General features: G+C 44.5%; 1 protein-coding gene across 6 annotated transcripts in view, besides 5 other annotated features; it reads left to right on the plus strand.

Moving 5' to 3' along the window:
* SFXN1 (sideroflexin 1) overlaps positions 1-4,134 on the plus strand; it is a 51,183-nt gene extending 47,049 nt beyond the window's left edge. For all 6 annotated transcript variants that reach the window (NM_001322977.2, NM_001322981.2, NM_001322982.2 and 3 more), the window contains one exon: positions 1,030-4,134. In NM_001322977.2, coding sequence (NP_001309906.1) covers positions 1,030-1,126 — 97 coding nt within the window. In that variant the 3' untranslated portion in view covers positions 1,127-4,134. The remainder of the gene's footprint in view (positions 1-1,029) is intronic.
* Positions 8,361-8,899: an enhancer, noted in NCBI's record as "H3K4me1 hESC enhancer chr5:174960972-174961510 (GRCh37/hg19 assembly coordinates)". NCBI's record gives its function as "activates a minimal SCP1, AML or CMV promoter by ChIP-STARR-seq in primed H9 embryonic stem cells {active_cell/tissue: H9 hESC(primed)}" and the evidence as "EXISTENCE:reporter gene assay evidence [ECO:0000049][PMID:30033119]".
* Positions 8,361-8,904: a biological region, named in NCBI's record as "H3K4me1 hESC enhancer GRCh37_chr5:174960972-174961510".
* Positions 8,765-8,904: an enhancer, noted in NCBI's record as "active region_23679". NCBI's record gives its function as "activates an Ori minimal core promoter by ATAC-STARR-seq in GM12878 lymphoblastoid cells {active_cell/tissue: GM12878}" and the evidence as "EXISTENCE:reporter gene assay evidence [ECO:0000049][PMID:35858748]".
* Positions 14,454-14,955: an enhancer, noted in NCBI's record as "H3K4me1 hESC enhancer chr5:174967065-174967566 (GRCh37/hg19 assembly coordinates)". NCBI's record gives its function as "activates a minimal SCP1, AML or CMV promoter by ChIP-STARR-seq in primed H9 embryonic stem cells {active_cell/tissue: H9 hESC(primed)}" and the evidence as "EXISTENCE:reporter gene assay evidence [ECO:0000049][PMID:30033119]".
* Positions 21,673-22,595: an enhancer, noted in NCBI's record as "OCT4-NANOG-H3K27ac-H3K4me1 hESC enhancer chr5:174974284-174975206 (GRCh37/hg19 assembly coordinates)". NCBI's record gives its function as "activates a minimal SCP1, AML or CMV promoter by ChIP-STARR-seq in primed H9 embryonic stem cells {active_cell/tissue: H9 hESC(primed)}" and the evidence as "EXISTENCE:reporter gene assay evidence [ECO:0000049][PMID:30033119]".

Genomic DNA, 22,930 nt, shown 5'->3' on the forward strand with positions numbered 1-22,930 from the left:
AATTTTTTTATTGTTTTTGAGGCAGGGTCTCACTCTCTTGCCCAGGCTGGAGTGCAATGGCACAGTCATAGCTCACTACAGCCTTGAACTTCTGGGCTCGAGCAACCCTCCTGCCTCAGCATCCTGAGTAGCTGGAGCCACAGGCATACACCAACACACCTGTCTTATTTTTTATTTTTATAGATACAAAAATTTGGGTCTCACCAGGTTGCCCAGGCTGGTCTCAAACTCCTGGCCTCAAGAAATCCTCCTGGTTCAGCCTCACAAAGCTCCGAGATTACAGGTGTGAGCCACTGCGCCCAGCCTCAAATATTTTTTTTAAACTAATTACATATCAAAATATTAGCAGTTTTTCTGGTAGGTATTCTGGACAATTTTTCTTTATACTTTAATGAGTGTGCGTTTCTCTTAAAGAATAAGCTTTAATATATATACACCCATAATACCTTCAAATACATTTTTAAGCACTTAAAGACTAACAGTGGTTATCTCTCAGCGGGATTATAAATGTTTTGGTTTTTTTTTTTTTTTTGTACATTTTAGTATTTTTTGAAATTTTTTTAATAAGCGTGTATTACATACAGTAAACAAAAGCACATTAATGTAGGCAGATTATCAATGTTATGCATTTCACTGATTGCATATCTCTTTTTTTATCAATGGTGAACATTGCAAATGATTGATACGTTTTTCTTAGGAAGTGGCATTGCCACAAATGGTTTTTCCAACACCAGCAGGGCCTGAGAGTGTCATCACCATACACTCTTGCCGGCAATAAGAGATTTCACCTTTTAATGATATGAGAGGGAAAAGTTGGGTGTTGGGTTCTCCAGTGCATTTCTTTCATTATGAGTGACATTTTTCTGAAAGGAACGTGATCTCGTTTTCTAGCCGCATGAAGCATTTCTCCAACAAGACCCACTGTACCAGTCCTGGGATCTCCACACCTGTGCCTTCTCCCTGCTCTTTCTAGGTCCTGATTCTCACCTCTGCCTGTGTAATAACCCTGTCATTTCTCCCTTATCCCAGTTCCATGTCTGTGACAAGCTTGGAGGCCGAGTTGCAAGCTAAGATCCAAGAGAGCCATCCTGAATTGCGACGCGTGTACTTCAATAAGGGATTGTAAAGCAGGGAGGAAACCTCTGCAGCTCATTCTGCCACTGCAAAGCTGGTGTAGCCATGCTGGTGAGAAAAATCCTGTTCAACCTGGGTTCTCCCAGTTACGGAAACCTTTTAAAGATCCACATTAGCCTTTTAGAATAAAGCTGCTACTTTAACAGAGCACCTGGCGTGGGCCAAGTGCCTGATACTCCCTTACACTGAATCATGTTATGATTTATAGAAATACCTTTCCTGTAGCTTTTATAGTCATTGTTTTTCAAAGACGATATACCAGCCCTCACCCAGGTTTTAAAAAAGCACTGGTAGGCATAGAATAGGTGCTCAGTATATGGTCAGTAAATGTTCTATTGATTATCAATCAGTGAAAAAAGAAATCTGTTTAAAATACTGAATTTTCATCTCACTCCCATTGCAAATCAAGGAGATCTCAGCAGTGAACTGGGAAAATACAAAAGCTCTGGGCTAATCTATAAAAACTTACCCTGAAATATTAAGGGCAGTTTGCTTCTAGTTTGGGGATTGCGCTAGCCCAATGAAGGTGATGAAGCTTTTGGATTTGGAGGGTAAAAGCTCCTTCACACCCCTTCCAAAAGTCAGTCACAGACCACTGCAACATGCCTTCCCTGCTGGATCATTATATACATTCAGATTGTGAGTGGATTGCCTTGGTTGACTTTTAATTTATTGTTTTTTGTTCTTATAAAGATGATAATCTTACCTTGCAGTTATTGACTTTATATTCAATTATTTACATCAAATAATGAAATAACTGAAATGTACAAATGTCAAATTTTGGAAGTATATTCAATACCAATGCTGTATGAGTGGGCTGAATCCAGTTCATTGTTTTTTTTTTGGTAAGAAGTGAGACTACAGTTCCAGCTACCTACATGTCTTTTCTTGTCATCCTTATAGATCTCTTTGGCTTTCAGAAAGATACAGTGATAATGTGTGTATGAATCAGTCACAATGAATTTTACTTGAATATTGTATGTTGCATTCCACTTCATTTGAAAATAATGAAACCATGTACCACTGTTTACATCATCTGTAGTGATTTCATAGATAATATATTTAATATGACAGATTATGTTTCAACTCTGTAGATGTTTAACGTCATAGACAGTTGGCCCTCTGTATCCGTGAGCTCTATATCTGTGAATTCAACCAAGTTTGGATGGAAAATTTTTTTTTTTTTTTTTTTTTTGAGACGGAGTCTCGCTCTGTCACCCAGGCTGGAGTGCAGTGGCGTAGTCTCGGCTCACTGCAAGCTCCGCCTCCCGGGTTCACGCCGTTCTCCTGCCTCAGCCTCTCTGAGAAGCTGGGACTACAGGCGCCCGCCACCACGCCCGGCTAATTTTTTTGTATTTTTAGTAGAGACGGGGTTTCACTGTGGTCTCGATCTCCTGACCTCGTGATCCGCCCGCCTTGGCCTCCCAAGGTGCTGGGATTACAAGCGTGAGCCACCGCACCCGGCCTGAAAATATTTTCTAAAAAGATAAAAAATATACATAACGATGAAAAATAATACAAATTTAAAAACCAATACAGTATAACAACTATTTACATAGTGCTTACATTGTATTAGGTGTTATAAGCAATCTAGAGATGATTTAGCAAGTATACAGGAGGATGTGCCTAGGTTATATGCAAATACTGTGCCATTTTATATCAGGAACTTGAGCATCTGCAGATATTGGTATCGGAGGGCGGTCCTGGAACCAAGCATCCACGGATACTGAGGGGTGACATTTCATGAAGTGTAGATCATTGTATTCAGAGATTGTAAATGAAAAAAATATAGAAACTATTTAGTTTTGGTAGATTTTTTTTCTGACAATGTGACCAGACTGAATTTCCTCATAAAGAAAAAATGGCGTGCCTTGTGTCTGTGTTTCTCTTTTCTCTGAAAGGATTAATAGATCTGAAGCTTTGGGCCACTCAGAGCCTTCCTTGATGCTGCCAGAGTCTTCTTATTTAGATTTTCTGTCTTAAACCATTGGAAGCAAAACGGTTTTCCCATGACATTCTGGCCTTGGACAGATTCTGTTGTCCTCGACGCGTCTCTTTATAAAGTGGTAAAAGCCTGAAATTCAGGGCAGCTCTCCATGAGGTGCTGAAGGGCTCTTTTCATAAGAAGCTAAGGCACTGCTGCCTGCCCCAGGTGTCCCGCTCCTCTCAGAGTCCTCCCCCTACCAGGTAGTGTGTAGCTCCATTTCAGAATGTTAACCTCCAGTGAAGAGCTAATGACTGGTTAGAAGATTGACAAACTAACCAAAATTTTACACACTCCGGTTATGTGTGTGAAAGGTTATAAAAGGAATGGCCGGGTGCGGTGGCTCACCCCTGTAATCCCAGCACTTTGGGAGGCCGAGGCGGGTGGATCACCTGAGGTCAGGAGTTTGAGACCAGCCTGGCCAACATGGAGAAACCCCGCCTCTACTAAAAATACAAAAAATTAGCCAGGCATGGAGGCACATGCCTATAATCCCAGCTACTCGGGAGGCTGAGGTAGGAGAATCGCTTGAATCCGGGAGCTGGAGGTTGCAGTGAGCCAAGATCGCACCATTGCACTCCAGCCTGGGCAACAAGAGCGAAACTCCATCTCAAAAAAAAAAAAAAGAGATTATAAAAGGGATGATGAACATGGAGCTGCATCTTTTTAAACGTTGTTTTTTGATGCTTCAGACTCTTAATGCTTTTATATAAAGCTATCAACTGTATGTTGATCACAGTTTATAAGAAAGAACAAATCAAGATTGGCAATCCTTGCCGATCTTTTAGAAATACCTTTTCTGGAGAAAAAAAAATCCACATGAAGTGCAATAAGCTTATAAAGCTAAGTAGTTATTAATATTTCTATTAACATGATACAAAGGATGATGATTGTAAGTGTTTACTGACTGGCAGCTTTTATTTCAGTATTAGCACAGCGTCTTGCCAGTGTTGGAGGCCATGTATTATTTCAGTTCAACTGGATGAAATGTTAAATAAACTCAGAATGAAAATAAATTCTCTCTTTTATTTGTACATAAAGGATAAAGCAGTTTGTGTGTTACAACTGATGGTACTTTTCATTCAAAGTTAATATCTACAGTACCATCAGCAACTCCTAATGAAAAGATATTTTTGTATTATGCCTTTAACAAGAAATATATTTCTATTTTGGGCTACCAGTCTCCCACCTTTTTGAACCTCATATACATAAAGGCACACCCACCCACCCCCCAAACTCCTATGACAATGTGATTCCAGGAATATTAATGATGGGCGTGGGGGATGGATTTCAGCTTGAAACTTGGATGGCCAACACCTCTGCACATGACGGTGATGGAAACATGCTTCTATATTATTGATCTGATTCTAACCTGGCACTGGCATTTACTAACAGAGAAAGTCTAAATTAACCTAAGTTTGGGGAGTGCCTTAATAAAAGACTTGATACAGAGCTGAGCATTTTAACTTCCTTGGCCATGTTTCTGCATTTGTTTTGCTACAGTAACTCTGTTGTCACTGAAATTATTTAAATATATGCAAGAGCGTAGGTCTAGAAGTCAGACAGAGCCAGGTCCAATCTACATTGCGCCCATTTATAAAATACGCATTTGGGCCAATGACATTCTCTGTGACCTTCAGTTTTGTGGCTTTTGTTTTGACTGTTTGGAGAAATCATTGAATCATAGAGTTGTTACAAAGATTAAATGAGCTAATCCCTGCACAGCTGTCACCATATTGCCTGGCACTTAGTGAACAGTCAATGAATGGTTGCCTCTTGTATATTTGCTCTAGAGACAGCGGGTATGCCTTCAAAATGCCAGTATATCATTGCTAAAGGTAAGATTTCAGAACCCTGGCAACTTTGCCAGAGATGGCACACAACTTAACTAAAAATCACAGATTAAAATGGTCAAGTGGAGACTTTAAATCCATCCCTTAAAAATGTCCAACAATTAAGGTTTTGCATAAATGAGACAGAAGTAGGAAGAGTCTCCACTCACAGATGAGGAAACGGGCTTGCATCAGTGAAGTGCATGCTCCAGGCTGCTCCTGGTCACTTGAAAACCAGATCTGACACCCACACCTACAGCCCTGTCCAAAAATGTAGACAACTGGAATATGCTAATAAAATTAGTTTTTCTTCTGCATATTCAGAGTTTTACTAAAAGCTGCAGGAAAATAAGATTACATTTGGTGGGATGAGATAAAGCATCACTTAAACCCTGGATAGTCAAAGTGTGGTCCGCAGACCAGAGACATCCAAACTTGTTAGAAATGCAGATTCTTAGACCAGACCCCAGACCTGCTGAGCCAGGATCTGACGGATACCCAGAGCCCCAGGTGATCCCTGAACATGTCGCAGCTTGAGAAGTTCTGGCTACAGCCACATTCCTGGTGTTCCCAGGGGTCAGTGAGCTTCATTGGGTCAATTAGAGGAAAACTTGTGATTTTCCATGAATTTGAATATTTACCCCTCACCAGATTCCAAGAAACCATGGGAAGGGTCATCGTTGACGTACTTGGGGGCACATAACAATAAGCTCATGACGGCAAGGATTTGGATTTCTGTTCTGTCCATTGCCATATCCCCAGCACCTAGAACAGTTGACACTAACCCGGGGGCCATGTGGTCATTGGGTTCAACCTGGGCTATTTCTAGGAATATGCAAAGTATACTTAACCTCCTATCCAAATGTGGAAAAGAATCCATTTTGTGTTACAAAGAGGTCATCACCAGCATGTGGAAAGAACAGGGAATATGAGATTTTCTGAGAAGAGGGCTAGAGGGGAAATGACTGTGAGCAACCACGTTATAAGCATTGTTCTGGAATGAGCCCTTTCCTTGCAGAGGACACAGTGCCTCTGAGTTTCTGGAACAGAAGGAAACCAGGGCTGATACACATAGGGGCTTGTTTAATCCTCACTGAACCCATAATATCCCCACTTTCAAAGAAAAGAAATTTGATGCTCAGGAAAGTGGACTGACTTACCCAGTGTCACACCATGGCAGAACCACGATTTTTTTTTTTTTTTTTTTTTTTTTTTTGTGAGACGGAGTCTCACTCTGTTGCCCAGGCTGGAGTGCAGTGGTGCAATCTCAGCTCACTGCAACCTCCACCTCCCAGGTTCAAGTGATTCTCCTGCCTCAGCCCCCGGAGTAGCTGGGACTACAGGTGCCCGCCACCACGCCCAGCTAATTTTTTGTATTTTTAGTAGAGACAGGATTTCACCGTGTTAGCCAGGATGGTCTCGATCCCTTGACCTCATGATCTGCTTGCCTCGGCCTCCCAAAGTGCTGGGATTACAGGTGTAAGCCGCCACACCTGGCCCAGAACCACGATCTTAATTTATACCTCCCAAATTCTCATAGCTTCCCCATCAACAGGAATAATTATAACCAGCTTTAGAACAACATTTCACAATCTCCACAGTGTTCTTTACATGCATTCTTCCTTGCAGTTCCCCCAAGGGTTCCTCTGAGCATCATCTCCATTCAAAAGGTAGGGAAAGTCTTAAAGAAGTGAAATTGTTTGCCACAAACCTTACCCGAGATATTCAAAAGACCACGAAGGGTTTTATTCACTTTCACATACACATACATACAAGGTATGTAGAATATGTAGAGTTCCAATGAGCACCCAGCCAAGGTCAAAGGTAATTTCCAGGTGGGGCCTCATATGAGAATCATAGAAGCAATGGTTCTCAAAGTGTGGTCCCTGGACCAGAGCATTAGCATCACTGGGACCTTTGAAATTCCCATTCTCAAGCCTATCTCGCACTTACCAAATCAGAAACTCAAGCTGGGACCCAGCCAACTTTTAACAAGCCTTCTGAATGATTCTGATGGACATTCAAACTTGAGAACCATTGGTCAGGAGGATGAATGCTTGGAGTTGGACCTCCCAGGCTTGGATTCAGCTCAGTTCTTCAAACTGAGGTAGGCTAACCTCTCTAAACCTCAGTTTTCTCATCTGTAAAATGAAGATACTACTGCTTCCCTCACTGAGTTATTGTGAGGATGCAGTGAGTATTAGCAAATAGGCAGCCCTTAACCTGGTACCTGGCACAGGGCACATCCAATACATTTTAGCTAAATGTAAGATGGATGCGTGATCCCTGGGACAAAAGGCTGACAACATTTTGCTGGTAACCCTTTTGGGAAACAGCTACTCTCATGAGTGCTGATCAGAGTGCAAATTGCTACAATGTCTACAAGAGTTTGGCAGTATCTATCAAAAGGTATAAAAGCATAACTCTGTTTTAAGCAGTTTCACTCCTGAAACCTAATCCCACAGATGTATACACTCATGTTCACAGAAGAACAAGGCTACTCCTATGGAAGCCATATGAATGGAGCCTGTTGGGTGGATTTGGAGGAAGGGGAGGTTGGAGGATGTTTTCCAAAGATGGTGAGAAATTTTCAGGCAGAAAAAAATACTAAGTGTATACTACTATGGGGTAATCCAACGTACAAAAATAAATTTTTCTCTGGGCGCAGTGGCTCACGCCTGTAATCCCAGCACTTTGGGAGGCCAAGGCAGGTAGATCACGAGGTCAGGAGATCAAGACCATCCTGACTAACACGGCGAAACCCCATCTCTACTAAAAATACAAAAAATTAGCCAGGCGTGGTGGCATGCGCCTGTAGTCCCAGCTACTCAGGAGGCTGAGGCAGGAGAATTGCTTGAACCTGGGAGGCAGAGGTTGCAGTGAGCCGCGATTGCACCACTGCACTCCTGCCTGGGCAACAGAGCAAGACTCCGTCTCAAAAAATAAATAAATTTTTATCTTGGGAATTTTTTTAAATTTCTGATTTGAATTCTTGCTAAGTAGATATATATATAATGATTGACTGTCATAAATATAAACTAAATTGGGAAGGAAGGCTATCTACGTGATGAAACTGAAAGTCATTTTTAAATTTTCTTCTTTATGCTTTTCTATTTTTGCAGATTCTTTTCTGCCTCTGCACTCAGGACATATTAAATGCTATTTTAAAAATTCTATGTACATTCTAATCTCAATTTTGTAATAAATACATCGATATGCATAAAAGACATATAAGAAGAATATACACCAAAATGGTTAACAGTTGGTGTCTCTGAGTTTGCAGGTAATCTTTATTTTATTTACACTTTTCTAATTCCCAAATTTTCTGGAATGCACCTGTATTCATATTATAATCAAAAAACCACCCAGTTCAGGCCTTTGAGTAATGTCATAGCTTGAAGCAACACCCAAGTCTTCAGGCTTCCTCGCAGGGTGGGCGATGATTCCGGCCCAGGTTCCCATGCTGGCAGCCCTGGGACAACCCTCAGCTCTCCCAGCTCGAAAGCCTTGGGGATACTGAGCCAACCGTGGACCCTTCCCTAGATTCCAGCTCCCTACTGGAAAAGATGGAAACAGCGTGGACCTCAGGAGCCTTGTCAGGCCTGAATCAGGCTCTGATTTCCGAGCCAGGAGAGCGGCGCAGCGCTGAGAGGCGACGCCAGGGCGCAGCATTGTCTGCAAGATCGCGCTGCCGGAGCCGGGCGCTCCCCGCAGCTGCCGGCAGGTGGCCCAGGGCAACCGCTTGCCTCCCGCGGACGTGCATCTACCAGGCGAAGTCAGGAAAGAGGCAGCGGAAGCTACAAGAAAGATATGGTCTCTCCCGCTGCGGCAAGCTGGGAAGATGCCCTGGCTTGGCGTCCCACGGATAGGAGTGGATTTGTCCATTCCGGATGCATTTCTTTAGGGTACATTGTACCGGGCATCTGGTTGGGGGTGGGAGGAGAGGACAAAAAACCAGGGTGGACCAGCCCCTGTCCTTGCCCTCAGCATCGTCAGCACTGTGACACACAGGTCAATTAACACCAGGTTCTGCAGGAGCACGGAGGCTGAGCCCTGAACCTTGGCGGTGGGAAGGGAGCAGGGAACAGGGAGGGCCTTAGGGGATGAAACCTCAGCCACACCAGAAGGATGAGCAGGACCTCCTCACTGGGAGCAGCAAATGGCAGAAAAAAAACCAGGGCTTCTAGGTATGCACTGTCTAGGAGACAGTGCATACTAAGACCTGGAGACCAGGGAAAGTGTGGCTGAGAGTAGTGTGCAGGAAGATCCCACCAGGATGCCAAGTCATGAGGGCCCTGCAGTGCCCACAGAAGCAGCATGGATTTCATCCTAAAAGTTGGGGCTCCTTCGGAAAAGTTTTGTGCAGAGAAGGAGCAGTAGTTAAATCTTAGCTCTGCCACTGTTTCTGTGATACGAGACAAGCCACTTGCCTTCTCTGGTCCTCAGTTTTCTCCTCTATAAAATGAGTACAATAAAAGCTACCTTACAGTCTTTTTGTGAAGATTAAAAGGGGTAAACAGAGAACCCTGAGTCAATGCCCAGTATGTGTGACTTGCCTTCCCTTGTCCTTTTATTTCTTTTTATTTTTTATATACTTTAAGTTCTAAGGTACATGTGCACAACGTGCAGGTTTGATACATAGGTATACATGTGCCATATTGGTTTGCTGCACCCATCAACTCATCATTTACATTAGGTATTTATCCTAATGCTATCCCTCCCCCAGCCCCACACCCCCTGACTGGCCCCGGTGTGTGATGTTCCCTGCCCTGTGTCCAAGTGATCTCATTGTTCAATTCCCACCTATGAGTGAGAATGTGCAGTGTTTGGTTTTCTGTCCTTGTGATAGTTTGCTCAGAATGATGGTTTCCAGCTTCATCCATGTCCCTGCAAAGGACATGAACTCATCCTTTTTTATTTGTCCTTTTATTTCTCTGCAATAACATTCAGATGGAAAAGACAGATAAGCGAGCCATCTCCAGCACGGCCACAGTGTCAGCCTGGCAAAAATTAGTAGTCCAGGGGAGTCATCTCAGCTGGTTTCCAGGGGCCAGGAAATCATTTTCATCATGTTTGATTGCAATCAAGAACAAGTTCTGCCCTCTTATTCCCGTTAATAATAAAAATGTATCTTAAAAAATGCATCTTATTCTGATTATAAAAATACTATCTCCAGGAAAGATGGTAGCTGAGAGAACAATTTAAAAAAAAAATTAAAATTAGAGAAGAAAATGCCAACTCCATTGAATGCAAAAGACCCAACCTCATGATACAAACTCTAAATAATAATTTTCATCCAGAATGTAGGAGGGGGGATCCTGGGACCCACTTCTGGAGTGGAGCAGCATCAGGTGAGTGAGAGAAGGGCTGGGCGCTGGGTAGGACATGAGGGTGCAGGTGCAGACACGTGTGAGGAGGACAGGAACCAAGAAGAACATTTTCCTCTGATCTGGTTCCCTCACTGAGGGGTGAGTCACAACAGGAAGTCCAGTGATCATCAAGATCCAATGAGGAGGAAGAAGATACCATAACCAAGAGAGAAGATGAGGCTGTATTCAACTTTCCTGGGAAGCTCAGCTACCTGCGCTCATTTGCAAGACAAAATCTGGGTCATAGGGAATTAACAAAAGAATCCTAAGCAGCTAAGTTGAGCCTCACAATAAAAAGCAGAGAGAGTAAGAAGAGGGGGCAGATAGAGAGGGTCCACAGCAACTGAGAGTGGTGAGTGGGCAAGAGGCAGTTTTGGAGAGAGAAGATGCAGAGAAAGGCAGTGATGGAAGACGCCATCCTTAAAAGTTGGCTGAGCATGGACAGGACATGCCCATTTCAGTGTAGAGCAAGGCTTCTCATCCCTGGCTTCCTTCCAAAATCACCTGCCAAGCGTTTCCAAGTATCTGTTGCTCAGGCCCCATCCAAACCTATTATATCTCAATACCCAAGGGAGGCCTGGGAATTGGAATTTTGAGCTCCCCAGGCCAGTCTGAGGTGCAGTCAGGATTGAGAATTGCTGTTCTAGAGATAGAATTGTGCTTTGATCTACTTTAATAACTTTGGAGGTTGATGGATGGTGTTTTTAAATGCATTATACTGATGTGAATGCCCAGACCTGAGCTAAGAATATTGACATTTATTATCTCATTTAAATCCAGTGTGCCCCTGTTTACAGATAGTGGTGGCTAAAATTCATTGAACAGTTATTTTGCCTTAGACAACACCTCATTTAATCTCACAACAACCCTGTGAAATAACTAGTTATCCCCTGCTACACAGATGAAGTTATGGCATAGAGCATTGAGGTAACTTGCCCAAGATCAGCCAGTTAATAAACGGCAGAGGCAGAACTGAGCCTGCCCATCTGGCTCTAGGGCCTCCTGGTCAATACACCAACATCTGCCCAGGTCCCCCTTCACTTGCGTTTCATCAGAGGGAGGGGCAGGCCAGCCCTGATCCCAAGGTAACCACAACCAAGACTCCATTCAGACTGGCCTGGGAGAAGGAACCTAAATGAGGCTGAATGCAAGCAGCAGATGTCCCCGCACAGCAATTCATTTGCTACTGGGAACATGGCTCGGCAAAGACTCCAGTATGAATGGAGTTTGCAATTTGAAAGATGATGTGTCTGGAGCCCTGCGGCGTGCTTTATTCCGGCGTGCACCTGCCTCCTCCATTCATTCCCATCTCCGCTCCCATCCTCGCTCCACCTCAAACTCTTCTTCTTCCCTCTGCCCTCCTTCACACCTCAACCTCTCTGACCTAAAAAACTTGGTTTATTTTTACTATAAATATAATAGGCCACACGCAGTGGTTCACATCCTAGCACTTTGGGAGGCTGAGGCAGAGGATGGCTTGAGCATAGGAGTTCAAGATAGGGCATAGCAAGACCCTGTCTCTACAAAAAAATTAAAAGTTAGCCAGGTGTGGTGGGCATACCTCCCAAGCAGCTATGGTCCCAGCTACTTCAGAGGCTGGGGCAGGAGGATCACTTAAGCCAAGGAGTTTGAGGCTGTAGTGAGCTATGATCGTGCCACTGCACTCCAGCCTGGGTGACAGAGACAGATCCTGTCTCTAAAAAATAAAAATAAAATTAAAAGTAAAATAATACTTTCTCATAAGAATAAGATAGCACCGAAGTACATCCCAACGCTGCATGCCGCCATCTCCTGCTGGGTACAATTTCCTGTGTGTTCATCCAGGCCTAGCATAGGCTCATACAAACATTATGCTCATCTGTAAATGTTTCTGCTTTTGAATTGTCTGTAAAAATTAAATCCTGTTATACAAATTATACTACAACCTTATTTTTTTCTCCTTAAAAATATGCCATGAACTTTTTTCAAGACAAAATATATTAATCTTTCTCATTTTTAAGAGCTTCATAGAATTCTGACATACTAATTCCTATAATTTATTTATCATTCCCCTATTGATGAACATTTATTTCCACAATTTTGCTACTACACACACACAAAAAAAATGCTGTCATGAGTCCCCTTGTGCATAGCTTTATATTCTTGTGCTATTGTTTCTGTAAAAGAGGTTCCTAGAAGTGAGATTAGCTAGTTCATAGGATGTGAGCATATACATTTCTTTTTTTTTTTTTTTTTTGAGATGGAGTCTCACTTCGTCACCCAGGCTGGAGTGCAGTGGCATGATCTCGGCTCACCGCAGCCTCCACCTCCCGGCTTCAGGCAATTCTCCTGTCTCAGCCTCCCAAGTAGCTGGGACTGTAGGCGCCTGCCACCACACCTGGCTAATATTTTCTATTTTTAGTAGAGATAAGGTTTCACCATGTTAGCCAGGATGGTCTCGATCTCCTGACCTCGTGATCCACCCGCCTTGGCCTCCCAAAGTGCTGGGATTACAGGCGCGAGCCACTGCACCCGGCCTGAGCATGTACATTTTTTAATGATAATGATGATGATAATCATCTTGCTAACTGCATTTAGCACTTACTTTGATATGCCAGGCATTATAAGAACATTATATTCATTATCTTATTTAGTCCTTCCAACAGTCCTGTAAGATACATTTTATTGTTATCTTCATTTTCATGCAATAGCATTAAGGCCTAGAGAGGTTGGGTTCTTGCTTCAAATAATACAGCTAATAAATGAACTGTCTGCCAAAAAGGCGGTACCAATTTTCACCCTAGCCACAGGGCCATTTCCCCAACAGGATATCATTGTCTTTGTGAGAATGAAAATCTAAAGGTACCTCTTTTTCGGTTTGCTTTCTCACCCCTTGAGGTGAACATCTGTGGCTTCCATGATCACCACCCTATTTCAGACCATTTTCTCTCCCTATTGGACCAGAGCCTCCACAGACTCCTGCTCCCAGACTTTCCCCTTCCGGTCCATCCTCCACACTACCAGAACACTCACACTCGCCCCTAAAGCCCTTTGGTCTCTCGTTGCCACCAGGATAAACTCCTGGCTCCTTGATCTACTATTTGAGGTCCTCCATGACCACATCCCTGCCAGCCTGTCAAAGCCACTGTCCTTTCTCTGGCCCTCTGTCCTCTTCCTGTCAGCTTTTCCAAACCATGACCCTGCACCACTTTCACATCTCTGAGCCTGTGCACATGCCATTTCTTCTTTCTGGAAGGCCTTTCCATCTTTGATTTTCCTGGCAAACTCTTACCCACTTTTCAAAGCCCAGTTTAAATGGCGTCTCTTGAAGCCAGGATGAAACCAAGGATAACACCAAACTCTTAGTGACAACAAGCTTGCAAGTGAGAGTTATTCTGTTTTATACTTTTTGTGCTTTCTAAATGTTTTGCAATGAGTAGCTGTTACTTTCATAATGAGAAAAAATAAAATACCTTTAATTTTTAGCATCTTTTCCTTTGAAATTTCTTAGTCTATGCTTTATGAAGTAGTCAAAAAGCATACTTGGACACGCTTGTACTCCCAGCTACTGGAAAGGCTGAGACATGAGAATCACTTGAATCCGGGAGGCAGAGGTTACAGTGAGCCAAGATTGCACCATTGCACTAAAGCCTGGGTGACAGAGTGAAACTTTGTTTAAAAAAAAAAAAAAAAAAAAAAGAGTGGATTTGGAGGACAACCACCTGAGACTGTGCTGGAAGAGCTGGAGTCACAGTTTGTCCCACTGGCAAAGTGCCTTATGTCCCTGACCTAGAGAATGCTAAATTACTCTCTGAGAAGAATCTTTGCTTGCCTCTTGGTTCATATTTGAGTCAAAGTAGGCATCCTTTTCCTCTGAGAAAATATCCAGGATGCCTGGCATATAGCCGACCCTCAATAAGGGGTTGCTGAATGCATTAATTAACAAAGAAGTCAAGCACACACACAATTTGGCTAACTTCTAAAGCATAAGCTCCTCATGCATCCAAAAGAAGATTTCTCCTTCATTTCCTCTCCCACAGGGACTAGGGATGGGCATGACCCTGAAGCAATTGCTTCCATGTGATAATTCCAGGATCCTGCTAGTCTTTGGTAGCTGTGAGAGTGTATGTCACACTTCTGGCTCTGTGATGGGCCTGTTTCTCATTCCCAAATGCTGCAGGTACTGTGTGAGAGCAGAGGGGTGGAGGAGAGGGACTCTGCTCCGCTGCATGATGTGAAATTGTGACTCCTTTGACCTCTCTGCAGGAGGGCAGCCTTGCAAATACGCAGCAGCCAGGAAACATGTCTTTTGCCCCTGGTGGACTTAAATTGTAAGGTTTCAGAGAATTATCTTTTCACCTTGGAAGGTGTTTTATGGGTACATGTGTATTAACTATTACTGAGTAATAAACCCCTCCAAACACAGTGCCTTAAAATGACAAGGCCTTTATTATTTATCCTGAGTCTGTGGGTTGGTTGGGCCATTCTCTGGCTGGTCCCACCTGGGCTCACTCATGTAGCTGCATTCAGTTGCCAGCAGTTCCGAGATGGCCTCAGCCACATGCTTGGTAGTAGGTGCTGGCTGTTGGCTGGGGCACCTCAGTGCTCCTCCCCACGGCCTCTCCTCCCGCAAAAGGCCAAACTGGCTTTCTTGCACAGTGGCCTCAGGACAGCAATACACCAGGCTCTGCTTGGGTCATGTTTGCTGATGTCCCACTGGCCAAGTCACATGGATAAACCCAGAGTCAGCCAGCCAGGCAGGAGGCTTGGAGCTCGCCTCTTGATGGGAGCAGTAGTAAGGAATGTGTGGCCAATTTCAATTCACCACAACATGTATGAGAGTCAGAGACAGAGGGAAGCAGAACCTGATCCTCACCTAGCGGCTGGACAACTGAGATGACAGAATGATGTATCCACGGCACAGAGGTGGGGAGATGTCAAAGAGTGGATTTGGGCTGGGCGTGGTGGCTCAGGCCTGTAATCCCAGCACTTTGGGAGGCCAGGCGGGTGGATTACTTGAGGCCAGGAGTTCGAGAACTGCCTGGACAGCATGACGAAACCCCATCTCTACTAAAAATACAAAAATCAGCCGGGTGTGTTGGCACATGCTTCTAATCCCAGCTACTGGAAAGGCTGAGACATGAGAATCGCTTGAATCCAGGAGGCTGAGGTTGCAGTGAGCCAAGATTGCACCATTGCACTAAAGCCTGGGTTACAGAGCGAAACTTTGTTTTTAAAAAAAAAAAAGGGTGGATTTGGAGGACAACCACCTGAGACTGCGCTGGAAGAGCTGGAGCCACGGCCCCCCGCCCCCAAGCTGTCCCACAGGGCCCTGCTCTCTGAGGCTTTACCTTACACAGAGGAGGAACTGAGGACAATGCATTGCTGGAGGAATGGAAGGAAATGCTAGTGAAAGACAGGTCCCACCAGTAGGGAGAGAATTTTCCAAAAGCTGCATGAAGACCAGAAGAAAAACAATCTCTTTAAGGACGTTGCAGACCTGAGCAAGGCCAAGAACTGGGTGTGCTTCAGAGGGGACTCCCGGCGGCAGCCACAAAGGTGCATGCTCCAATCTCCCTTCAGGAAGAGTGTGCCTTTCAGCTACAAGACATGCAACTGGCTGCTCCTTCTGCTACAGCTTTCAGGGTCCGTCTCTGCATGCAAGTTCTAGCCAAGGCCATACTCTTCCCAGGAAGCCCCCCTCAGCCAGTGACTGAGCATGGTGGGGGTACTTGGGCTGGGCCATTTCTGTCAAATGTGGGATTCTTCTAAAACCCATCTTTGCTCTAGGACTTTGTGCTGCATTCACAGAATGTCAGCTCCGCATCACAGTCTGAAGGTTTTCCTCCCTTTTACCTTTCATAGCTGCTGTGCCCAATATGCCCTTTGCTTGGCTAACATTTACTGAGCATGTATTATACATCAGGCACTGTGCTAAGGGATCTATGTGCCTTGCCATTTAGTCTCTACAGCAATCCTATCAGATAGCAACCGATAGCACTCCACGTTATAGGTGAGGAAACAGGAACAGAAGGATGATGTGGCTCACCTTGTGTGTGGGGAGAGGGGAAGCACAGCCAGGAAGAGATGGAATCAAGATTGGGTTTGGGGATCGGATCTGCACCCTCCACAGGGGAAGACACGCTTCTCACTGCTCTGTCCTTTCCCCTGGATGTTTTCCAGGCTCTAATTTCCTCTAGATTTGAAAAATGAACTTTCCTTCCTGGAATTTGTCCAATTTTGGAATGAAGTTTCCTGGTCTAGTCACAAATTCATTAACAAGAGCTCAAATTAAGGGCTTCCCCTCAGTATGGTGTCCCTCAAAGTCCTGCCTTGGGGACTTGATTGACCAAGTAAAGGAAAGCACTCACTGTGCAGATAGCACGGGAAGAGCTGCTTTGGCTTCCCCAAGATCAACAGGCCCTGAAAGGCAAAGACCTGGGTTTGGAAGGTGCAGCAGGTTAGAGGAAGAGTGGGGCTTCTCTGCTTCTGAGAACAGCATGGGGAAGTTCCCAGCAGGGTGCCTGCGTCTCCAAGTCACACAGGGTTAGTCACCCTTCTTGCCCCAGAGGCTCTGCTTAGCTCTTCTGTCAGTCAGAATCTCAATTTCATCTATACCTCACAGCCACAGACTTTCAACTGTAGACCTCCATGGTCTAGATATTCTCTAGCCCACTGTCACCCCCAAGGAGCTGGTCTCCGAAGTCTCATCTGTGTAGGAGATTCAGCAGATCCAACGCATGAAATAGACCAGAGCAAGAATTTGATTTTGAAATGAAATCAAAACAGAATCAACCAGCACAAACCTGGCTTCCAGCCCAGGCACCATGTCCTGGAAAATAAGTCACTGTGTGAATTTGGGACAGTCACTTACCTCTTTGAGCCTGTTTTCTCATCTGCAAATGGGAATAATAATAGTACCTGCCTAATGAGGATTTCATGAGGATCACAGGCAGTATGCTCAGCTCCGCACCTGGCACAAAGCCAGCTCTTAATATGGCTTAGTTACCATCTCATTGTGGGTCCCTTAAAGAGTAGGACTTCTTGACTCTACTTCAAGGTTGACTTATGAGGTAATCCCAGGAAGCACAGTTGGAAGAGTGAAAGGAGAAAAGCCACTAAAAGTTGTCATCCCAAGTGGCTTCCTACTGTGGGCACCTAGGGCTCAGGCCCTCTGAGAAACAGTGTGGAATATGCATGAGAACTGCCGGGAAGCTGGAGGGCTTGTCCCCAGACTCCCAAGCCTCATTTGTAAGGGATGCCCTGGGAGGCAGTGACAAGCCCCACAGCACATCTGGGTGCACTTGTGTGAAGAGGGAAACCCTCAGCCCAGTGAAGAGAGCCCAGTGTTCGAGAAGGAGCATGGTCAGCTTGCAGGCCAACTCAGGACAGCCAGGAGGGTGTGGGGAGCATTCCTTCTGCTCCAGTTCCCATTATGGTTACTGTAATGACAAACACGGGTAACAGGGTATATTATCTTGTGTTATTCACGTAAATATATAGACCACGACAACTCAGTCCAATTCTCATTGTCTTCTGTGATGCTCGAATTTTGATAAATACCCTAACGGGCTTCATGGAAAGAAGAGGAAAGACCAGTTATTTTATTAAGGGCTGTCATGGCCAGGGACTGTGCTAAGCATGTAATCCTCACACAACTCATGAACTTGGATATGAATATCCCATTTTGCAGGGAACAAAACTGAGGCAAAGAGAGGTATATATCTTACTCAAAAATCCTACAGCCTGTAAGAGGCAGAAATGGGATGCAAATACACAAAATAAGACTCTGCTGTCAATCATCTAAACCTTTGTGGAATTGAACTGAAAATGGCACGATTCTATGAAGTGGTTTGGAAGCCTGGTGAGTGGGTGGGGCAGGCCAGCATTCAAAGTCAGGCACCAAGAAGGCTGAGTTCGAAGACTGGGCGCGGTGGCTCACGCCTGTAATCCCAGCACTTTGGGAGGCAGAGTCGGGTGGATCCTCTGAGGTCAGGAGTTCGAGACCAACCTGACCAAATGGCAAAACCCCATCTCTACTAAAAATACAAAAATTAGCCAGGCATGGTGGCAGGTGCCTGTAATCCCAGCTACTCGGGAGGCTGAGACATGGGAATAGCTTGAACCCGGGAGGTGGAGGTAGCAGTGAGCTGAGATGGCACCATTGCACTCCAGCCTGGGCAACAGAGTGAGACTCTGTCTCAAAAAAAAAAAAAAAAAAGAAGACTGAGTTCATAACTTTATTAGACACCTCCCAAGGGCTTTCCTCTAGACCAGAAGGATGTCTCTTCTGTTCTTAGGGAAGTTGTATGGAGTACCCTTGACATAACTAACTCCATCTCAGGAAAAGGCTCCACTTGATAATTCATAGGGCACTCTGCCAACAAGGATAAGATGTTTTGTTTAATAAACAAATTTAAAAAGTAAAGACTGCATCCAACCAGATAAGGACACAAACAAGCAATCTCTTCCGCTATCAGTTCTCACCAGAGAACTCTGTGACTATAAAAGATTAGGCCTTCAGCAGCTCAAAATGGTAGTCTTAACTGACACCATCTTGCTGTCACTTGTGATAAGAACTTGGCATCTGCTGCCAAAGGCTCTGCCACCTCAAAGACTCTTCCTTGCAAGACCAACAGACTGCCCAGCCCAGAACACGACAACTTGTGTCTTCCTCGCTCCCCCTGGACTCATTTATTAACCCTTTCTCCTATCTCTTTTTCCTCTTGATGTTAAATGCTATATTGTTTGTGTGGAGTGTTTAATCTATAACACTTCAAGTACACTATCACGCATGGTTTGCAGTATTGACTGACTTACGGAGTGCCCGCAGCTCTGACTACGGAGTAAATGGGAAGTATTAAGGAGAACTGCCTCCTTGGGAACTCCACAGAGCTCGTGGCTTTTGTGATGGAATCACCATCAATACAAGGCTGACACTGTGGAAAGACACAAGCATGTGTGGACCTGGCTATTTCTAACCTGGCACTCCTCATGACAGAAGCCAAAGTGACAATTTGCATATGTAGAATGAGAATGGTTGGCCTTCAGATGGACTTCATTCATTGTTAGTAGTGCTCCCTTTCATTCTCAACTGTCCTGGTTTGGACAAGACATTGCATGTCTCCCTATACAAAATGCTATTAAATTAACAAAGAGCTTCCGCACAGGTTATTTGACTACTTTATTATCCCCACAACCTTAAGAGGAAGTGTTTATGACACTATTTGATGGAAGGGCAAATCAAGACCCAGAGAGGCTGTCCTGCAAGGCCCTGGCCTGGCTGAGACTAGAACCCAGACATCTCTTTTGATTCCAAAGCCCAGGGTCTTTCTGCTTGATCTTCATGCATTGTTCTTACGTTGATTTGGTCATTTATTTATTCATCTTTCACTCATTCTTTCTTTTTCTTTAGAGCACACTGTGCCCATTTTTATGTTTCTCTCTGCTTCCAGAAGTTCAAGATACAGAATGAAGCAAAAACCAGGCTTGACAGCAGTGAGCCATGTTCACACCACTGCACTCCAGCCTGGGTGACAGACTGAGACCCTGTCTCAAAAAAAAAAAAAAAAAAAGGAAAAGGAAAAGAAAAAGAGAAAGAAACTCAATTGTTAGGCATCTCCCTGGGGATTTTATCAACCAGGAAGGATAAATTGGGAGCACAGGAGAGGCAGCTGGAGGTTGACACCAGCCCAGACAGATTACCACCTGTTCTTCTAAGAGCTGCTCCAGACAATTTTCATTACCTGAGAGACTTTTTGTCTGTATAACAGGACAGCGTTTATCCCCATGCATTTCCTCCCTCACCCTCCCATAACTAGTATCTCTACCACCCTCCAGAAGCCCCAAGTTCCTATTCATTTCTGTAGCTCAGGATGCTATATAAGCTTCAATCATCTGATCATTCCTCCAGTGTCATATTCTGTGGAACTCCTGTGCATACATATGTAATTAGTTTTTCTCCTGTTAGTCTGTCCTATGTCAATTTAATTCATAGCCTAGCCAATGAACCTAGAAGAGTGGAGGGAAGTCATTATTCCTCCCCTAAAACACAACATATATGTACATGAAATTGTTAACAATGGCGAATTTGTATGGGTCTGCAGCAACCTCAGCTCTTGCTTTCTCAGAAGAAAGAATTCGACTGAGGGATAGAAAGCAGAGTGAGAGACAGAGTCAAGTTTTAGAGCAGAAGCAAAAGTTAATTAAAAAGTTTAGAGCAGCCGGGTGCAGTGGCTCACACCTATAATCCCAGCACTTTGGGAGACTGAGGTGGACAGATCACAAGATCAGGAGTTCGAGACCAGCCTGACCAACATGGTGAAACCCCATCTCTATAAAAATACAAAAATTAGCCGGGTGTGGTGGCGCGTGCCTATAATCCCAGCTACTCAGGAGGCTGAGGCAGGAGAATCGCTTGAGCCCAGAAAGCGGAGGTTGCAGTGAGTTAAGATCACGTCACTGCACTCCAGCCTGGGCGACAGAGCAAGACTGTCTCAAAAAAAAAAAAAAAAGAAAGAAAGAAAAGAAAAGTTTAGAGCAGGAATGAAAAGAAGTAAACTGGAAGAGGGCCAAGCAGGTGACTTCAGAGATTCAACTGTGCTGTTCCTTTGACTTGGGGTTTTACATGTTGACACGCTTCCAGGGTTGCATTACTTCCCTGATTCTTCCCTCGGATGGGCTGTCTGCATGCACAGTGGCCTGCTAGCATTTGGGAGGGGCTGCAGGCTCAGTGTGTTTACTGGAGTTGTATGCATGCTCGTTTGAGGCATTCTTCCCTTACCAGCCAAGTGTTTAAATCCTGCCATGTTGCCTCTTAGTGTGCATGCTTGAGCCCACTCGCCCAACTTTTGCTATCTTATTGGGAAGCTGCTGATCACCAATTTCAGGTGTGTTTTTGTTTTTGTTTTTGTTTTTGAGACGCGGAGTCTTGTTCTGTCACCCAGGCTGGAGTGCAGTGGCCCCATCTAGGCACACTGCAAGCTCTGCCTCCCGGGTTCACGCCATTCTCCTGCCTCAGTCTCCCGAGTAGCTGGGGCTACAGGTGCCCGCCACTGCGCCCGGCTAATTTTTTGTATTTTTTTAGTAGAGACGGGGTTTCACCGCGTTAGCCAGGATGGTCTCGATCTCCTGACCTCGTGATCCACCCGCCTCGGCCTCCCAAAGTGCTGGGATTACAGGCGTAAGCCACCGCACCCGGCCCCAGGTGTTTATATCTATTGGGAGACGGCCTTTCCCTGGCGCCGGCTGCCACCAAGTATTATTTTAGAGACACAGTTCACAACTGCCTGACCATCACCTGATGGTCACCTCCCATTCCTGGTGGGAAGGAAGGGGGACCCTCTCCTCTCCTGCTCATGTCTGCCTGACTACCTACTGTAACAAAATCACCACTTTGTACACCTTGAATATATTCAGTCTTCATGTCTCAATGTAATATTTTAAAAATTAAAAGAAGAGAAAACAGGCTTGAGTCCTTGTCTGAAAGCCCTTGGGATTCTTCGCATACTATAGCGTGGCTACAGCTGTTTGAACCTTTCTCTAGGTTTAAATCCTGGTTTTGGCAGTAGCTAAGCTACTCTACCTGGGCAAATCTCAGATTCTTCATCTGCAAAATAGGATAATCATAGCAAGTGCCCACCTTGTGAGCTGCTGGGAGGAGAAACAAGATAAAGCATGGGGAGAGGTTGGCACCATGCCCTGTACACAGGAAGCCCTCAGCAAAATGCAAGCCAGGTATTTCCTTTATCAGGCGGGAAACACCACCCGGATCTAACCTAGGGGATGGAGTGAGCTTTGGGAAACCAGAAGATTGGGGTTTTGTTTTTTGTTTTTTGTTTTTAGCTCTAAGCCAGGAACAATAATTGAAAATTTTATTTCCCCCCACCACCCCGGGGAACACGAACCACGTTTTAAAGAAAACAGTTGGGGGTGTGGGGTGGAGAGTTACTTGGCTTCCAAGGTAAAGGGACTTGGGAAATGTTGAGCCTTAATTTCTGCATCTATGCTCCATTTATCCTAAGAGACTTCCCATTTAATCATACAAGGAAGGCAGAATCAAAGGGGGCATATTTGCATCATAAAAGAGGTAATTGAATTCAAATGTGTGGAGTCTTTACCTTTCAGAGTCCCCAATCCTTTTGTTCTCCCTTCTAATCATTCCTGGCAGTTTTTGCAAAAGGCTAAAATGTGGCACAGGAAGATATCAATACAGGAGGGAAAAGAAATATGGTCATAAAAGGGGTTAATTCAAATTGTGGGCAGAAAGCCCTTTTTCTTCTTTTTTCTCTTTTCCTGTGAGGGACTCAGACCCAGAGAGAGGGAGCTGTGACTGGCAGCCGCTGAAGAAAAAAGCAACTGAATTCCTGGTTTCCTTTTCTTTCTTTCTTCTCCACCCAATGCGGGGAGTGGGGGTATTTCTTCAAAGAGGAATTTTTAAACATCTGTACATGTCTGTTTTTAAAAAACAAAACAAACTAAAGTTATTCATTAAATGCAAACAAAACACTTGAAAATCTACTTAAGTTTCAATCTTATGACCAATTAGAGAGGCAGAAAGGCACTGACTGAGGGTTACACTTCATCTCCTCAAAGTTGATGTGTTCATATTATTTCCATTTTACAGATGAGGA

The sequence above is a fragment of the Homo sapiens genome, chromosome 5, assembly GCF_000001405.40.
Source record: "Homo sapiens chromosome 5, GRCh38.p14 Primary Assembly".
Taxonomy (NCBI): Eukaryota; Metazoa; Chordata; class Mammalia; order Primates; family Hominidae; genus Homo; species Homo sapiens.